At 45.0% G+C, this 17,346-nt stretch overlaps 1 annotated feature.

Annotated features, from left to right (window-relative positions):
- Positions 2,419 to 2,478: a silencer, noted in NCBI's record as "silent region_14106". NCBI's record gives its function as "represses an Ori minimal core promoter by ATAC-STARR-seq in GM12878 lymphoblastoid cells {active_cell/tissue: GM12878}" and the evidence as "EXISTENCE:reporter gene assay evidence [ECO:0000049][PMID:35858748]".

Below are 17,346 nucleotides of genomic sequence, written 5' to 3'. Positions count from 1 at the left end.
ACTTCCTATCAGGGACAATGGCTGGCAGGCATAGACAGACTTAGAATTGGTGAGAAACACAAAGTTGTTTTAGAAACTTAATGAAGGTGAGGCTGGGCGCAGTGGCTCATGCCTGTAATCCCAGCACTTTGGGAGGCTGAGGTGGGCGGATCACTTGAGGTCAGGAATTCGAGATCAGCCTGGCCAACATGGCAAAACCCTGTCTCTACTAAAAATGCAAAAATTAGCCATGTGTTTTGGCAGGTGCCTGTTATCCCAGCTACTTGGGAGGCTGAGGCAAGAGAATCACTTGAACCCGGGAGGCGGAGGTTGCAGTGAGCCCAGATGGCGCCACTGCACTCCAGCCTGGGCAACAGAGCAAGTGTTGGGGTGATCAGACCCAACACCAGTTCGTGGGGGTGACAAAGTCCGGTGGAGTCAAAGGATTGAGAAAAGACAGTTTGAGAGAGATGAGTGGGACCAGGGGACCATCGCGATTGTGGAGGCTGCAAAGGCCCCATGCTCTGGGAGCCCACACTATTTATTGGTAATCCAACAAAGAAACAGGTGGTGAGAATGTGGAGGTCAAAAGGGTGCGTTGCATTAAGCACATGATTTACAGCTGTGATGGTTTAGCATTTGCTCTGCTACTTGAGATAATGGAGAGCAGGTTCTTTTAACTCAAGATACAATCGATCCTGGGAGAGCAACGAGCAAGGAGCCAGCAAGTCTAGACACATTCCAGAGCCACGAGCCCTGGAGTCTATCCAAGCCATGAGGGATTTTATGCCCTGGGCTTAGATTATGTTGTGCCAGGGCAGCCTTCCACCCTTTAGCACAGAGCTTGGTGTTCCAAAGGCCACAAGGAGTTTTAGACCATGGACCCTGGACACGTTCCAAGACTCTTTTACATTATGTCAGACGTGCAAGCCCTGCCTCAGCTTCTCCCAACACTCAGCTTTTCCCAACAGCAAGACTCCATCTCAAAAGAAAAAAAAAGAAACAGAAAGTTAATGAAGGTGGAGGTTGCCTCTGATGTCTATCTTGAAAGCATCCAGCCATTTGGTCAACTCAGCCTATTCCTGTCAGTGTCTAATGACAGAGAATTGACACTTTTATGGAGCCCATTCTCACGTGTAATCACTCCCATAGAATGGATGCATATACAGTTGGATATTTGGATAACAGCTCTGAATTGCACAGATCTACTTAACCGTGGAGTTTTTACCACCCATTGTGGATGGAAAATACAGCGTTCATGAGATGCAAACCCCTGTAAATGGAGGCCTGTTTGTATACGCAGGTTCTGCAGATCTGACTGCAGAGCTTGAGTATGCCCAGATTTAGGTATTTTGGTGTACTCAGGGGTCCTGGAACCAGTTCCCTGTGTATACCAAAGGAGCACTGTATTGCTGTGTCACAGTTTGGGGGAACATTTTGATAAGTGCATTTCAGTATAATTGGTTTCCTTTGTAATCCTATGTGTTTTCTTTTATGCACTTAAAAATACTATTCTGGCTGGGCATGGTGGTTCATGCCTGTAATCCCAACACTTTAAGGGGCCAAAGCAGGAGGACTGCCTGAGTCCGGGAGTTTGAGACTAGCCTGGGCAACACAGTAAGACCTTGTCTCTACTAAAAATAATAATAATGAAAAAATTAGCTGGTTGTGGTGGTGCGTGCCTGTGATCCCAGCTACTCAGGAGTCTGCGGTGGGAGGACTGTTTGAGCTCGGGAGGTCGAGGCTGCACTGAGCTGTGTTTGTACCACTGCACTCCAGCCTGGGTGACAGAGCCAAGAAGTTGTCTCAAAAAAAAAAAAAAAAAAGTACTATTCTGGGAAAGAATCCACTCATTATAGAATTCTTCACCCAACCACCAAGGAGGTTCATTGCTCAAAGCCTTCAAGCATTTGAAGATGTTACATAGACCATCTTCTTTCCTTTCTCTACACATGGTAACCCCCAAATCAAGCAGGCAGCTCTCAGATACCCTCACATGCTCAGGGCTGTGTCCTTGAATCTGGAACCAGGCTGCCTGGGCTGGAATCCCAATTCCAGCATTCTAGCCCTTGGATTAGAAAGGGCTAGAAAGCACTGGGATGTTCTTAAACACCACCTTTCTAGCCCTATGCCCTTGGTCAAATTAGTTTAAATGCTCGGTTTCTCCTCTGTAAAATGAGGACAGTAACAGCACTCATCTCACGTGGTTGTTGTGAGAATGAAATCAGTTACCGCATGTAAACCTTCAGCAGTGCCCTGCTCTCTGCCATGGCGTGTTTATGGAATGTTAATAGCATGAGGCGGGAGGCGGACAACCTCAGGCGAACCTGCTAGAGGGCACCCCCTTGTGTATGACTCTGATCACTGTGGTTTCTTTTCTCTGGGTCTGAGTCAGACACAGAGATTTCTGTTAAAAAGTAGCAATAGGAGGCTGGGCACAGCGGCTCACACCTGTAATCCCAGCACTTTGGGAGGCCAAGGCGGGCGGATCACCTGAGGTCAGGAGTTCAAGACCAACCTGGCCAACATGGAGAAACCCTGTCTCTACTAAAAATACAAAAATTAGTCAGGTGTGATGTCAGGCGTGTGGAATCTCAGCTACTCGGGAGGCTGAGGCAGGAGAATTGCTTGAACCTGGGAGGCGGAGGTTACAGTGAGCTAAGATCACGCCACCGCATTCCAGCCTAGGTGACAGAGTGAGATGCTGTTTCAAAAAAAAAAAGTCAAAGGATCCCTTTAAAGTCTATTCCTATCTAAAATTTTGTAGATGTCTTAGTTCGGTTAGCCCAAAAGTGGACCCTGAGGCAAAGGATTTTGGGCAAATCATCTATTTAAGAAATGATTCTAGGAGGCAGAGTAAGGAAGTGAGACAGGGAAGAGAGAAAAGCCACATAGGGCACATTGCCGAGCAGGATACCTCAGAGGACAACTGGGCCGCAGTCCTGTGAAGGCCCCTCTGAGAGACTGTGCAGCGGTGAGGAGGCTGGCGGGTGGACTCACCAGCTCCTAGCCCTCATCTGTTGAGGCTGTCCTGGGGTGTTACCTCCCAGCAATTCTGGCCAGTCCTGTGTGTGGGCTCAGAGGAGCCCTCAGGCATTGAAACACAGGCACGTGAGGGAAGAAGCCAGCAGGGACAGCAATTGTCTTCCAAAGCTGCATCTGACAGTGCACTGACACAGTTCGCTTCAGTGGGGGATGGCTGAGCTAAACACGGCTGTCAATAATAAGCAAAAGAGACATGAAACGTTAGTTTTGACTTAATTTGATTAAAAACGTAACTGAAAGAGGTTTGACCCCAGCCTGGGTCTTTCAACTTCTCCTTCCTCCCCATACCTACTAATCACAGTCTGACTTTCACCGGGTGATTCCTTTAGCAATTTATATGTGGTTTCATCTTTAAGGATGTGCTTATGAGAAGCTCCAGCCACCCACGCTTCAAAGTTCACATATGATTAATGGGTAAACTTTTCAGTGGTTTGAGGAAGGTAGTCAGAAGATACTCATTATTTTAGTATCTGCTCATTAGCAAGGAAAATTGGCTTCCTAAAGTGTTTCTGTCTTTTTTTTTTTCCTGTTATTTAAACAAATAGCATGACTTGTAATGCAAAATCTTAGGACCGTGGGATGTTAGATTCATCTGGTTAGAGTTCAGTATAAAGTAGAGCTGTAAGAGCTTGCATTTTGTTAAATAAATGAATGACTGTCTTGTTAAATTCCATAAAAAGCAGTTACCTCTGTTCAGTTTTCCAGGTGAGAGTGTGCATGCTGGTCAGCAAGTTTATGATCATTACTTTTAAAAACATTTTATGGTAAAGAAAATGAAATACAGAATGCCACATTTGTATCTACACTATGAGTACATAATGTATAAATTATGTAAGTTTATAGACAAGAACAGGAAGGTAAAATGAGGAAATGAGTACTTTTGCCAACACAGTCAATTTTCTTTTAAAAACAAGGAGGAAAGAGAGATGAGCAGTATCCTTAAAATCAATCCCAGTGTGACATGGAACTTTCAGGGTGTTTTTTATTAACCTTGGCAACTTTTCTAGGCTCAGATCAAGTTACTGAGGAATTTCCCCAGATTTTCTACCACTCATTTTTGTTTTCTCTAAAAGTAGGCTGAAAAATTGAGACTGCCAAGAAAAGCACAGTGCATAAGAATGAACCTCAAAAACAATATGCTAAAGTGAAAGAAGCCACAAAAGACCACATATTGTATGATCTAATTTATATGAAATTTCTAGAAAAGACAAAACTATAGATATAGAAAGCAGATCAGGAGTTACCTAGTGGTGGCTGAGAGCAGGGATAGAATACAAATGGCACAAGGAAAGTTTTTAGGGCAATGAAATTGTCTTAAACAGAAATGTGGTGATGGTTGCATGACAATAAATTTAGTAAAACTCACCAAACTGGATTTTATGATATATACATTATACAATAAATCTGTTTAAAAGAGAGACTGAGGCTGCGTGTGGTGGCTGACACCTGTAATCCCAGCACTTTGGGAGGCTGAGGCAGGCGGATCACTTGAGATTAGGAGTTTGAGACCAGCCTGGCCAACATGGTGAAACCCTATCTCTACTAAAATACAAAAATTAGCTGGGCATGGTGTTGTGTACCTGTAACCCCAGCTACTCAGGAGGCTGAGGCACGAGAATTGCTTGAACCAAGGAGGCGGAGGTTGCAGTGAGCTGAGATCACACCATTGCACTCCAGCCTGGTGACAGAGTGAGACTCCATCTAAAAAAAAAAAAAAAAAAGGGCCGAGCACGGTGACTCATGCCTGTAATCCCAGCACTTTGGGATTACAAAAAAAAAAATGGCCTCCTGATGTTTCTTCCAACAAATTGTCTTCCTGAGTACTTACTATATAGACAAATAGCAGCAGCACTGTCCAACAGAAATACAATGGGAGCCACAGATACACTTTTTTCTTTCCAGAGATGAGGTCTTGCTCTATTGCCCAGGCTGGAGTGCAGTGGTGTGATCATAGCTTACCATAACCTCAAACTCCTGGGCTTAAGGGGTCTTCCCACTTTAGCCTCCTAAGTAACTGGGACTCAGGTGCATGCCATCATGCCCCTAAATTTTTTATTTATTTTTATTTTGTAGAGACAGGGTCTTGCTGTGTTGCCCAGGCTGAAGTGCAGCTTGCACCATCATGGCTCATTGCAGTGTTGACCTCCCAGGATCAAGTGATCCTTCTGGCTCAGCCTCCCGAAGTGCTCATATTACAGGTGGCCACTGTGCCCAGCCAAAACAAATTTTTTTTAATTAAAAAAATTGTAGACCAGGTGTGTGGCTCACGCCTGTAATCTCAGCACTTTGGGAGGCTGAGGCAGGTGGATCACTTGAGGTCAGGAGTTTGAGACCAGCCTGGCCATTGTGGTGAAACCCCATCTCTACTAAAAATACAGATATTAGGCAGGTGTGGTGGCATGCGCCTGTAATCCCAGCACTTTGGGAGGCTGAGGCTTGAGGATCACTTGAGGCCAGGAATTCTGAGACCCACCTGGCCAATGTGGTGAAACCCTGTCTCTACCAAAAAATACAAAAATTAGCTGAGCGTGGTGGCATGCGCCTGTAGTCCCAGCTGCTCGAGAGGCTGAGGCAGGAGAATCACTTGAACTTGGAGGTTGCAGTGAGCTGAGATCGCGCCACTGCACTCCAGCCTGGGTGAGAGAGTGAGACTCTCTCAAAAAAAAAAAGAAAGAAAGAAAAAGAAAAAAAGAAACAAAGGTATCTGTTGAATTCTGTTCTGTAAATGCACACTCAACGCTGATCCTTACCTTTTTTAAGAATTAATTTTTCACGGCTGGGCGTGGTGGCTCATGCTTGTAATTGCAGCGCTTTGGGCGGCAGGCGGATCACTTGAGCCCAGGAGTTTGAGACCAGCCTGGGCAACATGGCGAAACTTCGTCTCTGTAAAATTTTTAAAAAAAAAATTAGCTTGGTGTGGTGGGACATTCCTGTAGTCTCAGCTACTTGGGAGGCTGAGGCGGGAGGATACCTGAGCCTGGGAGGCCGAGGCTGCAGTGAGCCATGATTGTGTCACTGCACTCCAGTCTGGATGATAGAGTGATAGCGTGAGACTGTGTCTCAAAAAAAAAAAAAAAAAATTAGTTTTTCACATGATCCTGATAATTTTTTTTTAATGTACTCAGTGAGTTTCATTTTCAGGTCTTGGGAGTTAAATTGCTATGGTCGGCTCATAAAGCAGGTGTTGGAAATTAACATTGCAGAAAAGCATTTTGAGACTCAGAATTATGAAGAAAGGATTTTAACTAAGATGAAAGGTTATATCCTTTATCAGGAAACTGCATCCCATCCTTGCAAAAAGACAGCTGTGATAGTCTACAGTAGTTGACCTGATTATTATTTTTTGAGACGGAGTCTTACTCTGTTGGTCAGGCTGGAGTGCAGTAGCGTGATCTCAGCTCACTACAACCTCTGCCTCCCGGGTTCGAGCAATCCTCCCACCTCAGCCTCCCCAGCAGCTGAGATTGCAGTCACCCACCATCATGCCCAGCTGATTTTTGTATTTTTGTAGATATGGGGTTTCACCACGTTGGCCAGGCTTGAACTCCTGACCTCAGTTGATTTGCCCTCCTTGGCCTCCCAAAGTGCTGGGATTACAGGTGTGAGCCAGCATGCCCAGCCTGATCTGATTATTATAATTATTGAACTAAAGCTACTAGTATTAGATGGTAGAAATTACAATGTCACAGATAAAGACCTACAATTTGGGAAAATCTTGGGGTCTTTGATGGGCTTTTTTGATTTGGTTTGCTTGGGAGTGGGATAGAGGTTGTCCACTTTTGGATAATGCGACCATTTGAAGTACAGTCAGGATTCTTTTTTTAAAATTATTTTTATGTTGAGACAGGGTCTTACTCTGTCACCCAGGCTGAAGTATAGGTGTGTGTGTCATCATAGCTTTCTGAAACCTCCAACTCCTGGGCTCACATGATCCTCTTTCCTCGGCCTCCCAAGTAGCTGGGACTGCAGACACGCACCACCACACGTGGCTAATTTTTGTATTTTTTGTAAAGATGGGGTCTCTGTATGTTGCCCAAGCTAGTCTTGAACTCCTGGGCTCAAGTGATCGTCCCACCTCAGCCTCCCAAAATGTTGGAATTGCAGACGTGAGCCACCACACCCAGTCCCAGTCAGGATTCTTATTCTGCAGCTATATTGGTGGGTTCCAATCTGCTATCAATTCCAGGAGAGTCTGATATATGCTAAAAATTATTTACCATCCAATTTTGACAATTGTACTTGTAGCTGACCGCCCAGCTTTCTTGTGGAATTAAAATTACTCTGCAGGAGAACAGAGGATTTTTAAAGTGGCGAAACTATTCTGTATGACACTATAATGGTGGATATGTAACAGTCATTTGTCAAAACCCATAGAACATACAGCACCAGGAGTGACCTCTAAGGTACTATGGACTTCAGGTGATAGTGATGTGTCAGTGTAGGTGCATGGATTGTAACAAAGGCACCAGTGTGCTGCAGGATGTTGATGGAGTGGAGGCTGTCCATGTTTGGGGACAGGGGTACATCTCTATACCCTAAGCCTCTATACTTGGAATGCTCTATGCTTTCCACTCAAGTTTGCTGTGAACCTAAAACTGCTCCATAAAATAAAGTTTATTATAAAAATTGGTCTGTGGCTGTAGCATCTGGAAAAATATTACTTCCCCAGAAACACTATAACTACACCTCCTCTGTAGACCCACATATCTAAGTAAAATGGTAAAAAAACAGCCTTATAAAATCAGCAGGAGGCTGGGCGCGGTGGCTCACGCCTGTAATCCCAGCACTTTGGGAAGCCAAGGTGGGCAGATCACCTGAGGTTGGGAGTTCGAGACCAGCCTGACTGACATGGAGAAACCTTGTCTCTACTAAAAATACAAAATTAGCTGGGCATGGTGGTACATGCCTGTAATCCCAGCTACTTGGGAGGCTGAGGCAGGAGAATCACTTGAACCTGAGAGGCAGAGTTTGCAGTGAGCTGAGATCGCGCCATTGCACTCCAGCCTGGGCAACAAGAGCAAAACTCCGTCTCAAAAAAAAAAAAAACAAAAGTCAGCAGGAAGGAAGGCAAGTGATTGATTTCTCAGTTATTGTTGGTTGTTTTTGTTCTTGGAAATCCCCTTTGGTAACGGTGAGTCTTTGTTTTATTGTTCCTTTCCCTGGGTTACAATTATGCCCTTGGAAAGCAGGTGTTCTTACTGGGCGCAAATGCTTGTTTTCCCTATCTCCCTATCTCCTCCTCTTCATCCCCTTGTTTTCCTTCTCTCATGCAAATAGATCCACAGTTGGGGGAAGTGTTGTTATTAGGTCTACTGGGATTATTAGGGGCATTGTTCCATGGCAGGACCCTCGCACAAATGTCAGGAAGGGGGAGAAGGCCTTCCCTTGGCCTTCACCCTTGGTCCCTGAAATGATTCCAGACCACCTCCCACTCCATAAGCCTGTCTTGCCTGTTTTTTTCTCTTACTCTGTAACCTCAGTTCAGGTTTCCCAGGTCTCTATGATCTGTTTTCAACATTTGTCTCAGTCTCAACCCACAGCCTTTTCCCATTACACATTCCACCTCCAGCCTCCAGCGCTAGGACCGGGAAGAAGAAATACCTCCACACCACAATCAGCCAGGCTGCTCCTCTCCAGCCCAGGCCCTGGCCTAGATTAACAGTCAGCCTGAAGGCTTAACTTTGTTACCAATAGTCAGAACTGAATTCCCACTTCTTCCACATGAAGGACAGCTCTTCTTAATAGTGACAGGTTCCCTTTTCCAGGAGCAACTTTATTTCTGAATGTTAAAAAAAAACCCCAAACACTTCCTTTTTAATTCAGAAACAAAGACTCCAGTGAGTCTCCCATGGTTGAAAAAGAAAAAAAAAAAGAGGAAAAAAGTAAAAAAAAGAAAAAAAATTTTTTAAAACTCACCTCCTAACATGTGCATTGATGCATATCTTAGCTTAGGTTATCCCAAAGACGAAATCTCAGAAAGACCTGGGTCTTGGGTATAGATAGCTTTTTGAAAGGGGACCCTAGGAAGTAGGAGTTAAGGAGTAGGGAGAGTAAGAGGAGGAGTAGGGAGAGTAAGAGGAGAAATAGGCCAGGCAAGGATGTAGGATTCCACTGGTTCCTGTTGCGGGCAGCCAGGGCTCACTGTTGCTGGAGACCTGTGGAGAATACACCTCAGAATTGTGCCTCTGAAGGGCCAGAGGCTGGGGCCTTCCCCCACTGGTTTCTTATTCCTCCAATGATTGGGAGTGTTGACATGCCCGGGCACTTAGGGCTGCTCTGTGTATGGACTAAGTGAACTACTGAAGCTTCCAATAAAACCTGAGTTGGAAAAGTTGAGGGACTCCACAGCTGCCTGAGGTGGGCGCTGCCAGCGTGCATGGAGAATGTCCACTCTGGCTGCAGCTGAAACCCTAGTCAGGCTGAGGGGAAGTGGTCTACACTCCAAACAGCATCTGCTGCTATTCATGAATAGGAATTTAAAGCTATCTTCTTTACCCAACTCAAAAAAACCTCAAACATTTAAAAATGGAAACAGCCCCTTGACCTGATAGAGCTTCTGCTGCTGTTTCTTCACATCAAGAAGATGGGATGCTCAAAGCCAGCTTGTGCATCATCAGGGCCAATGGAAAGACCCTTTCCACTGGAGTTCCTCCTCTTCCAGCTCTTGCATTTCTATGTACAGTGAATTTCACCAGCTAAAGTCAGACCAAAAAGATGGTCATTCCTAGCCCTGTTGTCACTCTTCGTCAGAGTCTTTAAGGAAGTTGAGGTGGGCAAGGCTTGGAGACAGAATTTTTTCCTCTTGTCTAAGCTGAGGTTTTGAAAACATTCAAAGCCAAGCTGCAAACTGGTCCAAATTGGGACTGTAGTTATTTCTACAGTAGAGCAGTTCCCAATGTCTTCAAAGATAGAGAAGAGGAGAGTAGAAGTTCTTCCTAATCAGAAATAACTCATTGGGAAGGACTTATAGGGCAACCAAAGCAAGTCTGGATGACTGCTGCGAGGTTTGGGACTGGGTAGAGGAGAGGTTGGGGTTGCTTAGCCAGAAGGCCTTGTGATCCCATTTATGGGAGACACTTTACTATGCCGACAGATGACCTTCTGAAGCCTGTGACTCTCAGCTGGGCGTGGTGATTCGCACCTGGTCATCCTAGTACTTTGAAAGGCCAAGGCAGAAGGATTGCTTGAAGCCAGGGATTTGAGATCAGCCTGGGTAACATAGTGAAACTCTGTCTCTACAAAAAATTTTTTAAATGGCTGGACACGGTGGTATGTGCCTGTAATGCCAACTACTTAAGAGGCTGAGGTGGAAGGATTGCTTAATCCGTAAGTTCAAAGCTGCAGTGAGCTATGATCACACCACTGCGGTCCAGCCTGGGCGACAGAGCAAGATCCTTTCTTAACAATAAATAAATAACAAAATAACTAAAGTCTGTGACCTTCAAGGGTACTTGCTTAAAATTATACTGCCTACTGTAGGATTCCCCAGACAGCAAGATCATTTTTTCTTTTTTTTGAAATAGGATTTTGTTCTGTAACCCAGGCTAGAGTGCAGCGGCGTGATCATAGCTCACTTCAGCCTCGATCTCCTAGGCTCAAGTGATCCTCCCACCTCAGCCTCCCAAGTAGCTGGGACTGCAGGTATGTGCCACCATGCCTGGCTTTTTTTTTTTTTTTTTTTTTGAGACGGAGTCTTGCTCTGTCACCCAGGCTGGAAGTGCAGTGGCATGATCTCTGCTCACTGCAAGCTCCGCCTCCTGGGTTCATGCCAGTCTCCTGCCTCAGCCTCCCGCGTAGCTAGGACTACAGTCGCCCACCACCACACCTGGCTAATTTTTTGTATTTTTAGTAGAGACGGGGTTTCACCGTGTTAGTCAGGATGGTCTCGATCTCCTGACCTCGTGATCTGCCCACCTCAGCCTCCCAAAGTGCTGGGATTACAGGCGTGAGCCACTACTCCCGGCGCTATTTTTTTATTAAAGTTTTTAGCAAGAAATGAGGTCTTGCTATATTGCCCAGGCTGGTCTTGAACTCCTGAACTCAAGTGATCCTCCCATCTTAGCCTCCCAAACTGCTGGGATTACAGACATAAACGGCTACACCCAGCCAAGATTATTCTTTTGTTTTGTTTTTTTGAGAGGGAGTCTCACTCTGTCACCCAGGCTGGAGTGCAGTGGTGCAATCTTCGCTCACTGCAACCGCCGCCTCCTGGGTTCAAGCAATTCTCCTGCCTCAGCCTCCCGAGTAGCTGGGACTACAGGCACCTGCCACCACACTTGGCTAATTTTTGTATTTTTAGTAGAGATGGGGTTTCACCATATTGGCCAGGCTGATCTCAAACTCCTGACCTTGTTATCTGCCCACCTCGGCCTCCCAAAGTGCTGGGATTACAGGTGTGAGCCACTGCACCCAGCCAAGATTATTCTTAAAATGGATAGACAGGCAATCCTGACTATGAGGTAGGATAACTCAGGAGATCTGGGACCCTTCTTGTTTTTCTTTCTTTTTTTTTTTTGAGACCCTTCTTAACAGTAGATAACATAGCTTTATCTTTTTGAGAAAGGCTGGGTGTACTCATAGATATTGTTCTTTATGATAACTATCATGTATTGTACTCAGAGCATGAACACAGACCTTTATCTACATTTGCTAATTTAATACACAAATGTAAAGTAGATCTATTATCACTGGTTGACAAATGAAGCAACTGTGGCTCACTCAGATTAAGTGATTTAGAGTCATATAGCTTCATAAAGAGCAGAGCTGGTGTATTAGGCCATTCTTGCATCCCTATAAAGAAATACCTGGCCAGGTGACATGGCTCACGCCTGTGATCTCAGCACTTTGGAAGGCTGAGGTGGGCGGATCATGAGGTCAGGAGTTCGAGACCAGCCTGGCCAACATGATGAAACTCCGTCTCTACTAAAAATACAAAAATTAGCTAGGCGTGGTGGTGCACACCTGTAATCCCAGCTACTCAGAAGGCTGAGGCAGGACAATCGCTTGAACCCAGGAGGCAGAGGTTGCAGTGACCTGAGGTCACGCCATTGCACTCTAGCTTGGGTGACAGAGCGAGACTCTATCTCAAAAAAAAAAAAAAAAAAAAAATACCGGAGACTGGGTAATTTATATTTTTTTTAAAAAGAGGTTTAATTGGCTCGTGGTTCTGTAGGCTGCACAGTGAGCATAGAGGCATCTGCTTTGGGGGTGGCCTCAGGGAGCTTTCAATCATGGTAGAAGGCAAAGGGGTAGCAGGTGTCACATGGTGAAAGCAGGAGCAAGAGAGAGAGAGAATTGGGGAGGCGGGGGTGCCATACACTTTTAAATGACCAGATTTCACAAGCACTCACTATCACAAAGACAGCACCAAGCCATTAGGGATCTGTCTCCATGATCCAAACACTTCCCACCAGGTCTTACCTTCAGCATTGGAGATTACAATTCAACATGAGATTTGGGTGGGGACAAATATCCAAACTATATCATTCTGCCCTTGGTTCCTCCCAAATCTCATATCCTTCTCACATTGCAAAATATAATCATGCCTTCCCAGCAGTCCCCCAAAGTCTTAACTCATTCTAGCATTAACTCAAAAGTCCAAAGTCTCATCTGAGACAAGGCAAATCCCTCCCACCTATAAGCCTGTAAAATAAAAAACAAGTTAGTTACTTGCAAGATATAGTGGGGGTATTGGGTAAGCCTTCCTGTTCCAAAAGGGAGAAATTGGCCAAAAGAAAGGGGCTACAGTTTTCACACAAGTTGGAAACCCAGCAGGGCAGTCATTAAATCATAAAGCTCCAAAATAATCTCCTTTGACTCCATGTTCACCATCCAGGGCATACTGGTATGAGGAGTGGGCTGCCAAGGCTTTGGGCAGCTCTGCCCCCATGGCTTTGCAGCGTGCAACCTCTGAGACTGCTCTCGTGGGCTGGAGTTGAGTACCTGTGGCTTTTCCAGGTACAGGGTGCAAGCTGCCAGTGCATCCACCATTCTGGGGTCTGGAGGATGGTGGCCTCTTCTCACAGCTCCACTAGGCAGTGTCCTGGCTGGAACTCTGTTTGGGGCCTGCAACCCCACATTTTCTCTCCAAATTGCCCTAGCAGAAGTTCTCTGTGAGGGCTCTGCCCCTGCAGCAGGCTTTAGCCTGGACATCCAACCTTTTCCCATACATTCTCTGAAATCTAGGCAGAGGCTGCCAAGAAACCACCATTCTTGCACTCTGTGCACCTGCAGGCTTAACAACACATGAAAGCCACCAAGGCTTAGAGTTTGCATTCTCTGGAGCAGTGGCCTGAGCTGTATGTGGGCCACTTTGAACCACAGCTGGAGCTGGAGCACCTGGATGTGGAAAGAGTGTCCCAAGGCTGTGCAGGGCAGTGGGGCCCAGACCCATGACACTATTCTTCTCAGGCCTCTGGACTCTGGGCCTGTGATGGGAGGGGCTGCCAAGAAGGTCTCTGAAATACCTTTGAGGCCTTTTCCCCACTGTCTTGGATATTAGCACTTGGCTCCCTTTTAGTTATGCAGATTTCTCTAGCAAGCAGTTGTTCCAAAGGCTGCTTGAATTCCTTTTCTGAAAAAGCTTTTTCTTTCTCTGCCACATGGCCAGGCTGCAAATTTTCCAAACTTTTACACTCCATTTCCTGTTTAAATATAAATTCCAACTTTAGGTCATTTATTTGCTCCCTCATCTGAGCCTAGGTTGTTAGAAGCAGCCAAGCCACTTCTTGAATACTTTGCTGCTTAGAAATTTCTTCTGCCAGATGCCCTAGGTCATTACTCTTTTTTTTTTTGTTTTTTTTTTTTTGTTTTTTTTTGAGACAGAGTCTCGCTCTGTTGCCCAGGCTGGAGTGCAGTGGAGTGATCTTGGCTTACTGCAACCTCTGCATCCCAGGTTCAAGCTATTCTCCTGCCTCAGCCTCCCCAGTAGCTGAGATTACAGGCACCCACTACTACACCCAGCTAATTTTTTGTATTTTTAGCAGATACAGGGTTTCACCATGTTGGCCAGGCTGGTCTCGAACTCCTGACCTTGTGATTCGCCTGCCTCAGCCTCCCAAAGTGCTGGGATTACAGGCGTGAGCCACCGCACCCAGCTTCGGTCATCACTCTTTAGTTCAAACTTCCACAGATCCCTAGGACATGAACAGACTGCAGCCACACTCATTGCTAAGGCATAACACATGTGACCTTTGCTCCAGTTCCCAATAAGTTCCTCATTTCCATCTGAGACCTTGTCAGCCTGGTCTCCACGGTCCATATCCCTATCGGCATTTTGGTTACAACTATTTAACCAGTCTCTAAGAAATTCCAAAATTTCTCTATTTTTCTGTTTTCTTCTGAGCACTCCAAACTCTTCCAACCTCTGCCTGTTAGCCAGTTCCAAAGTCTCTTCCACATTTTCAGGTACCTATATAGCAATCACTCACTCTTCAGTACTAATTTTCTGTATTAGGCCATTCTTTCATTGCTATGAAGAAATACCTGAGACTCGGTAATTTATTTTAAAAATAGAAGAGGTTGAATTGGCTCATGGTTCTGCAGGTTCTACAGGAAGCATAGTGGCATCTGCTTCTGGGGAGGCCTTGTGGAGCTTCGAATCATGGTGGAAAGCAAAGAGGGAGCAGGCATGTCACATGGTGAAAGCAGGAGCAAGAGAGAGAAAGCATGTGTGGGGGAGGTGCCATGCACTTTTAAATGACTAGATCTTGTGAGAAGTCACTGTCATGAAGACAACACCAAGCCATGAAACATCTGCCCCTATGATCCAAACGCCTCCCATCAGGCCCCATCTCCAGCACTGGGTGTTATCATTCAACATATGATTTGTGCAGGGACAAATATCTAAACCATATTAGCTGGGATTCTAAATAAATTCATGGGCAAAGACAGAAATATGGCTCCTGTTATGATTCCATATATGCCTTTTTTTAAAAAAAAGTTGGCTGCTCTATGGAGTAGTCATTCTTCTGTTTCTTTACTTCTCTGAAAAAGTTAAAAAAAAACTTTTATTTTACATTCAGAGGTACGTGTGCAGGTTTGTTACATATGTAAATTTCCTGTCGCAGGGGTTTGGTGTACATATTATTTCATCAGGTAGTAAACACAGTACCTGATAGGTACTTTTTCGAGTCTCACCTTCCTCCCAACTTCCACCCTCAAGTAGGCTCCGGTGTCTGTTGTTGCGTTTTTTGTGTTCATGTGTACTCAGTGTTTAGCTCCTACATATAAGTGAGAATATGTGATATTTGGTTTTCTGTCCCTGTGTTAGTTCACTTAGGATAATGGCCTCCAGCTCCAACCATGTTGCTGCAAAGGACATGATCTCATTCTTTTTCATGGCTGCATAGAATTCCATGGTGTATATGTACAACATTTTCTTTTCTTTCTCTTTTTTTTTTTTTTGGAGACAGAGTCTGACTCTGTCACCCAGGCTGGAGTGCAATGGTGCGATCTCGGCTCACTGCCTCCTGGGTTCAAGTGATTCTTGTGCCTCAGCCTCCTGAGTAGCTGGGATTACAGGCGTCCACCACCATGCCTGGCTAATTTTTGTATTTTTAGTAGACACAGGATTTCACTACATTGGCCAGGCTGCTCTCAAACTCCTGACCTCAGGTGATCCACCCGCCTCATCCTCCCAAACTGTTGGGATTACAGGCATGAGCCACCGAACCTGGACATTTTCTTTATCCACTCTACTGTTGATGGGCATTTAGGCTGATTCCATGTCTTTGCTGATTACATATTTTATAGACCCAGGAAGACAGGCAACATAATGAGTCAGCTTGCACCTCTATAAAATAGTATAGCCAATGGTTCAGAGCTCAGACTTTAGGGTCAGGTGATCTCTTTTTTTTTTTTTAATTTTAATTTTTTGAGACAGGGTCTCACTCTGTTGCCCAGCCTGGAGTGCAGTGGCATGATCTCAGCTCCCTGCAGCCTTGACCTCCCGGGATTAGATGATCCTCTCACCACAGCCTTCCAAGTAGCTGGGACCACAGGCATGCACCACCATACCCGCCTAATTTTTGTATTTTTTATAGAGACAGGGTTTCACCATGTTGCCCAGGCTGGTCTCAAACTCCTGGGCTCAATCGATCTGCCTGCCTAGGCCTCCCAAGGTGTGATAATCTCCACCCGAAGATTATAGGTAGAGATTCAGATTCAGATCACCTGAATCTTCCTGAAGATTACCAGGAAGTGAAATTAGATACAAAATTGTCTCCATGTCTTTCTTACAGTCTGTACTTATTCTGTGTGTATGAGTGTGTGCTTTTGTCCTGGAAGTTTGTCAGGAGAAACTAAATGTTTTCCAGAAACAAATAACAAAATGTTAAAGCAAAAATAATACTTTGTATCCTTCTACAAGATGCATTTTGTTCTGATTACAAAAATCTGCTTATTCATTGGGTTGCACATTTATATTTGGTAGCAAATTTCAGAAGTTTGCTTGAACAAGCTTCCTTGAGAAAGTGTGGAAGGAAGAGCTTGAGTGCATACCCAGCAGAAACGAAACTGCTGGTTTTATGGGTTTGCAGGTCTCCCTACAATGTGGAGAAACCTGTTTGAAAATCTTCACTTGCCTTTCAAGGGCTGAAATTTTCTTCTCTTTTTTTTTTTTTTTTTTGGAAGCTATAGGTATGTATTTCTGTTGTGTTTCATCCAATTTCCCAATAAGCCATTAGAAAGAAATTCCTCTTTGGGATCCTTGACAAGCAATGTGCTGGTACATAGTAGGTGCTCCATGGAGTCAATGCTCTTTAGTAGTGAAAGAGACTTTAAAGCTCATGAGCCTGCAGTGAACATCTGTGATTCTGACCTGTTCATTTTATAGCAAAACTTCTCAGAATAGGTCTCTCTATATTTGCTGCCTCCATTTGTCCACATTTCATGGTTTTCTTAAACTCCGTCAATCAGGGTGTGGTCCTGTCCTCTGAAATCGCTCTGGTCAAGGTTTCAGAAAGGCCTGTGTCACAGAGTTCTGTGGTCACTTCTCTGTCCACCCGTTCTTCCACTACCCAGTAGCATTAGACACAGTGGACCACTCCCTCCAGCTTGAAATGTTTTTTCCAGGACTTTCATGAAACCACAGTCTCCTGGTTCTCTCCTCTCCACTACTACTGCTTCTCTTTTGCTGACTTTCTGCTGCTGTTGGCTTCTAATTTTCCCAGGTCTTAGGCTATCTCCATTTTTTTCTCTGGAAATATTCCTTCCAGGTGTCTGGCTTTCAATACTGTTTACTGATGATTCTCAAACTTATGCCTTGATCTCCAGTCTCAAGTGTTCAGCTGCTTTTGAACATATTAACTTTGAGGTTTTTGT

This window comes from Homo sapiens, chromosome 3 (assembly GCF_000001405.40).
Source record: "Homo sapiens chromosome 3, GRCh38.p14 Primary Assembly".
Taxonomy (NCBI): domain Eukaryota; kingdom Metazoa; phylum Chordata; class Mammalia; order Primates; family Hominidae; genus Homo; species Homo sapiens.
This window is presented reverse-complemented; position numbering and strand designations above follow the sequence as displayed.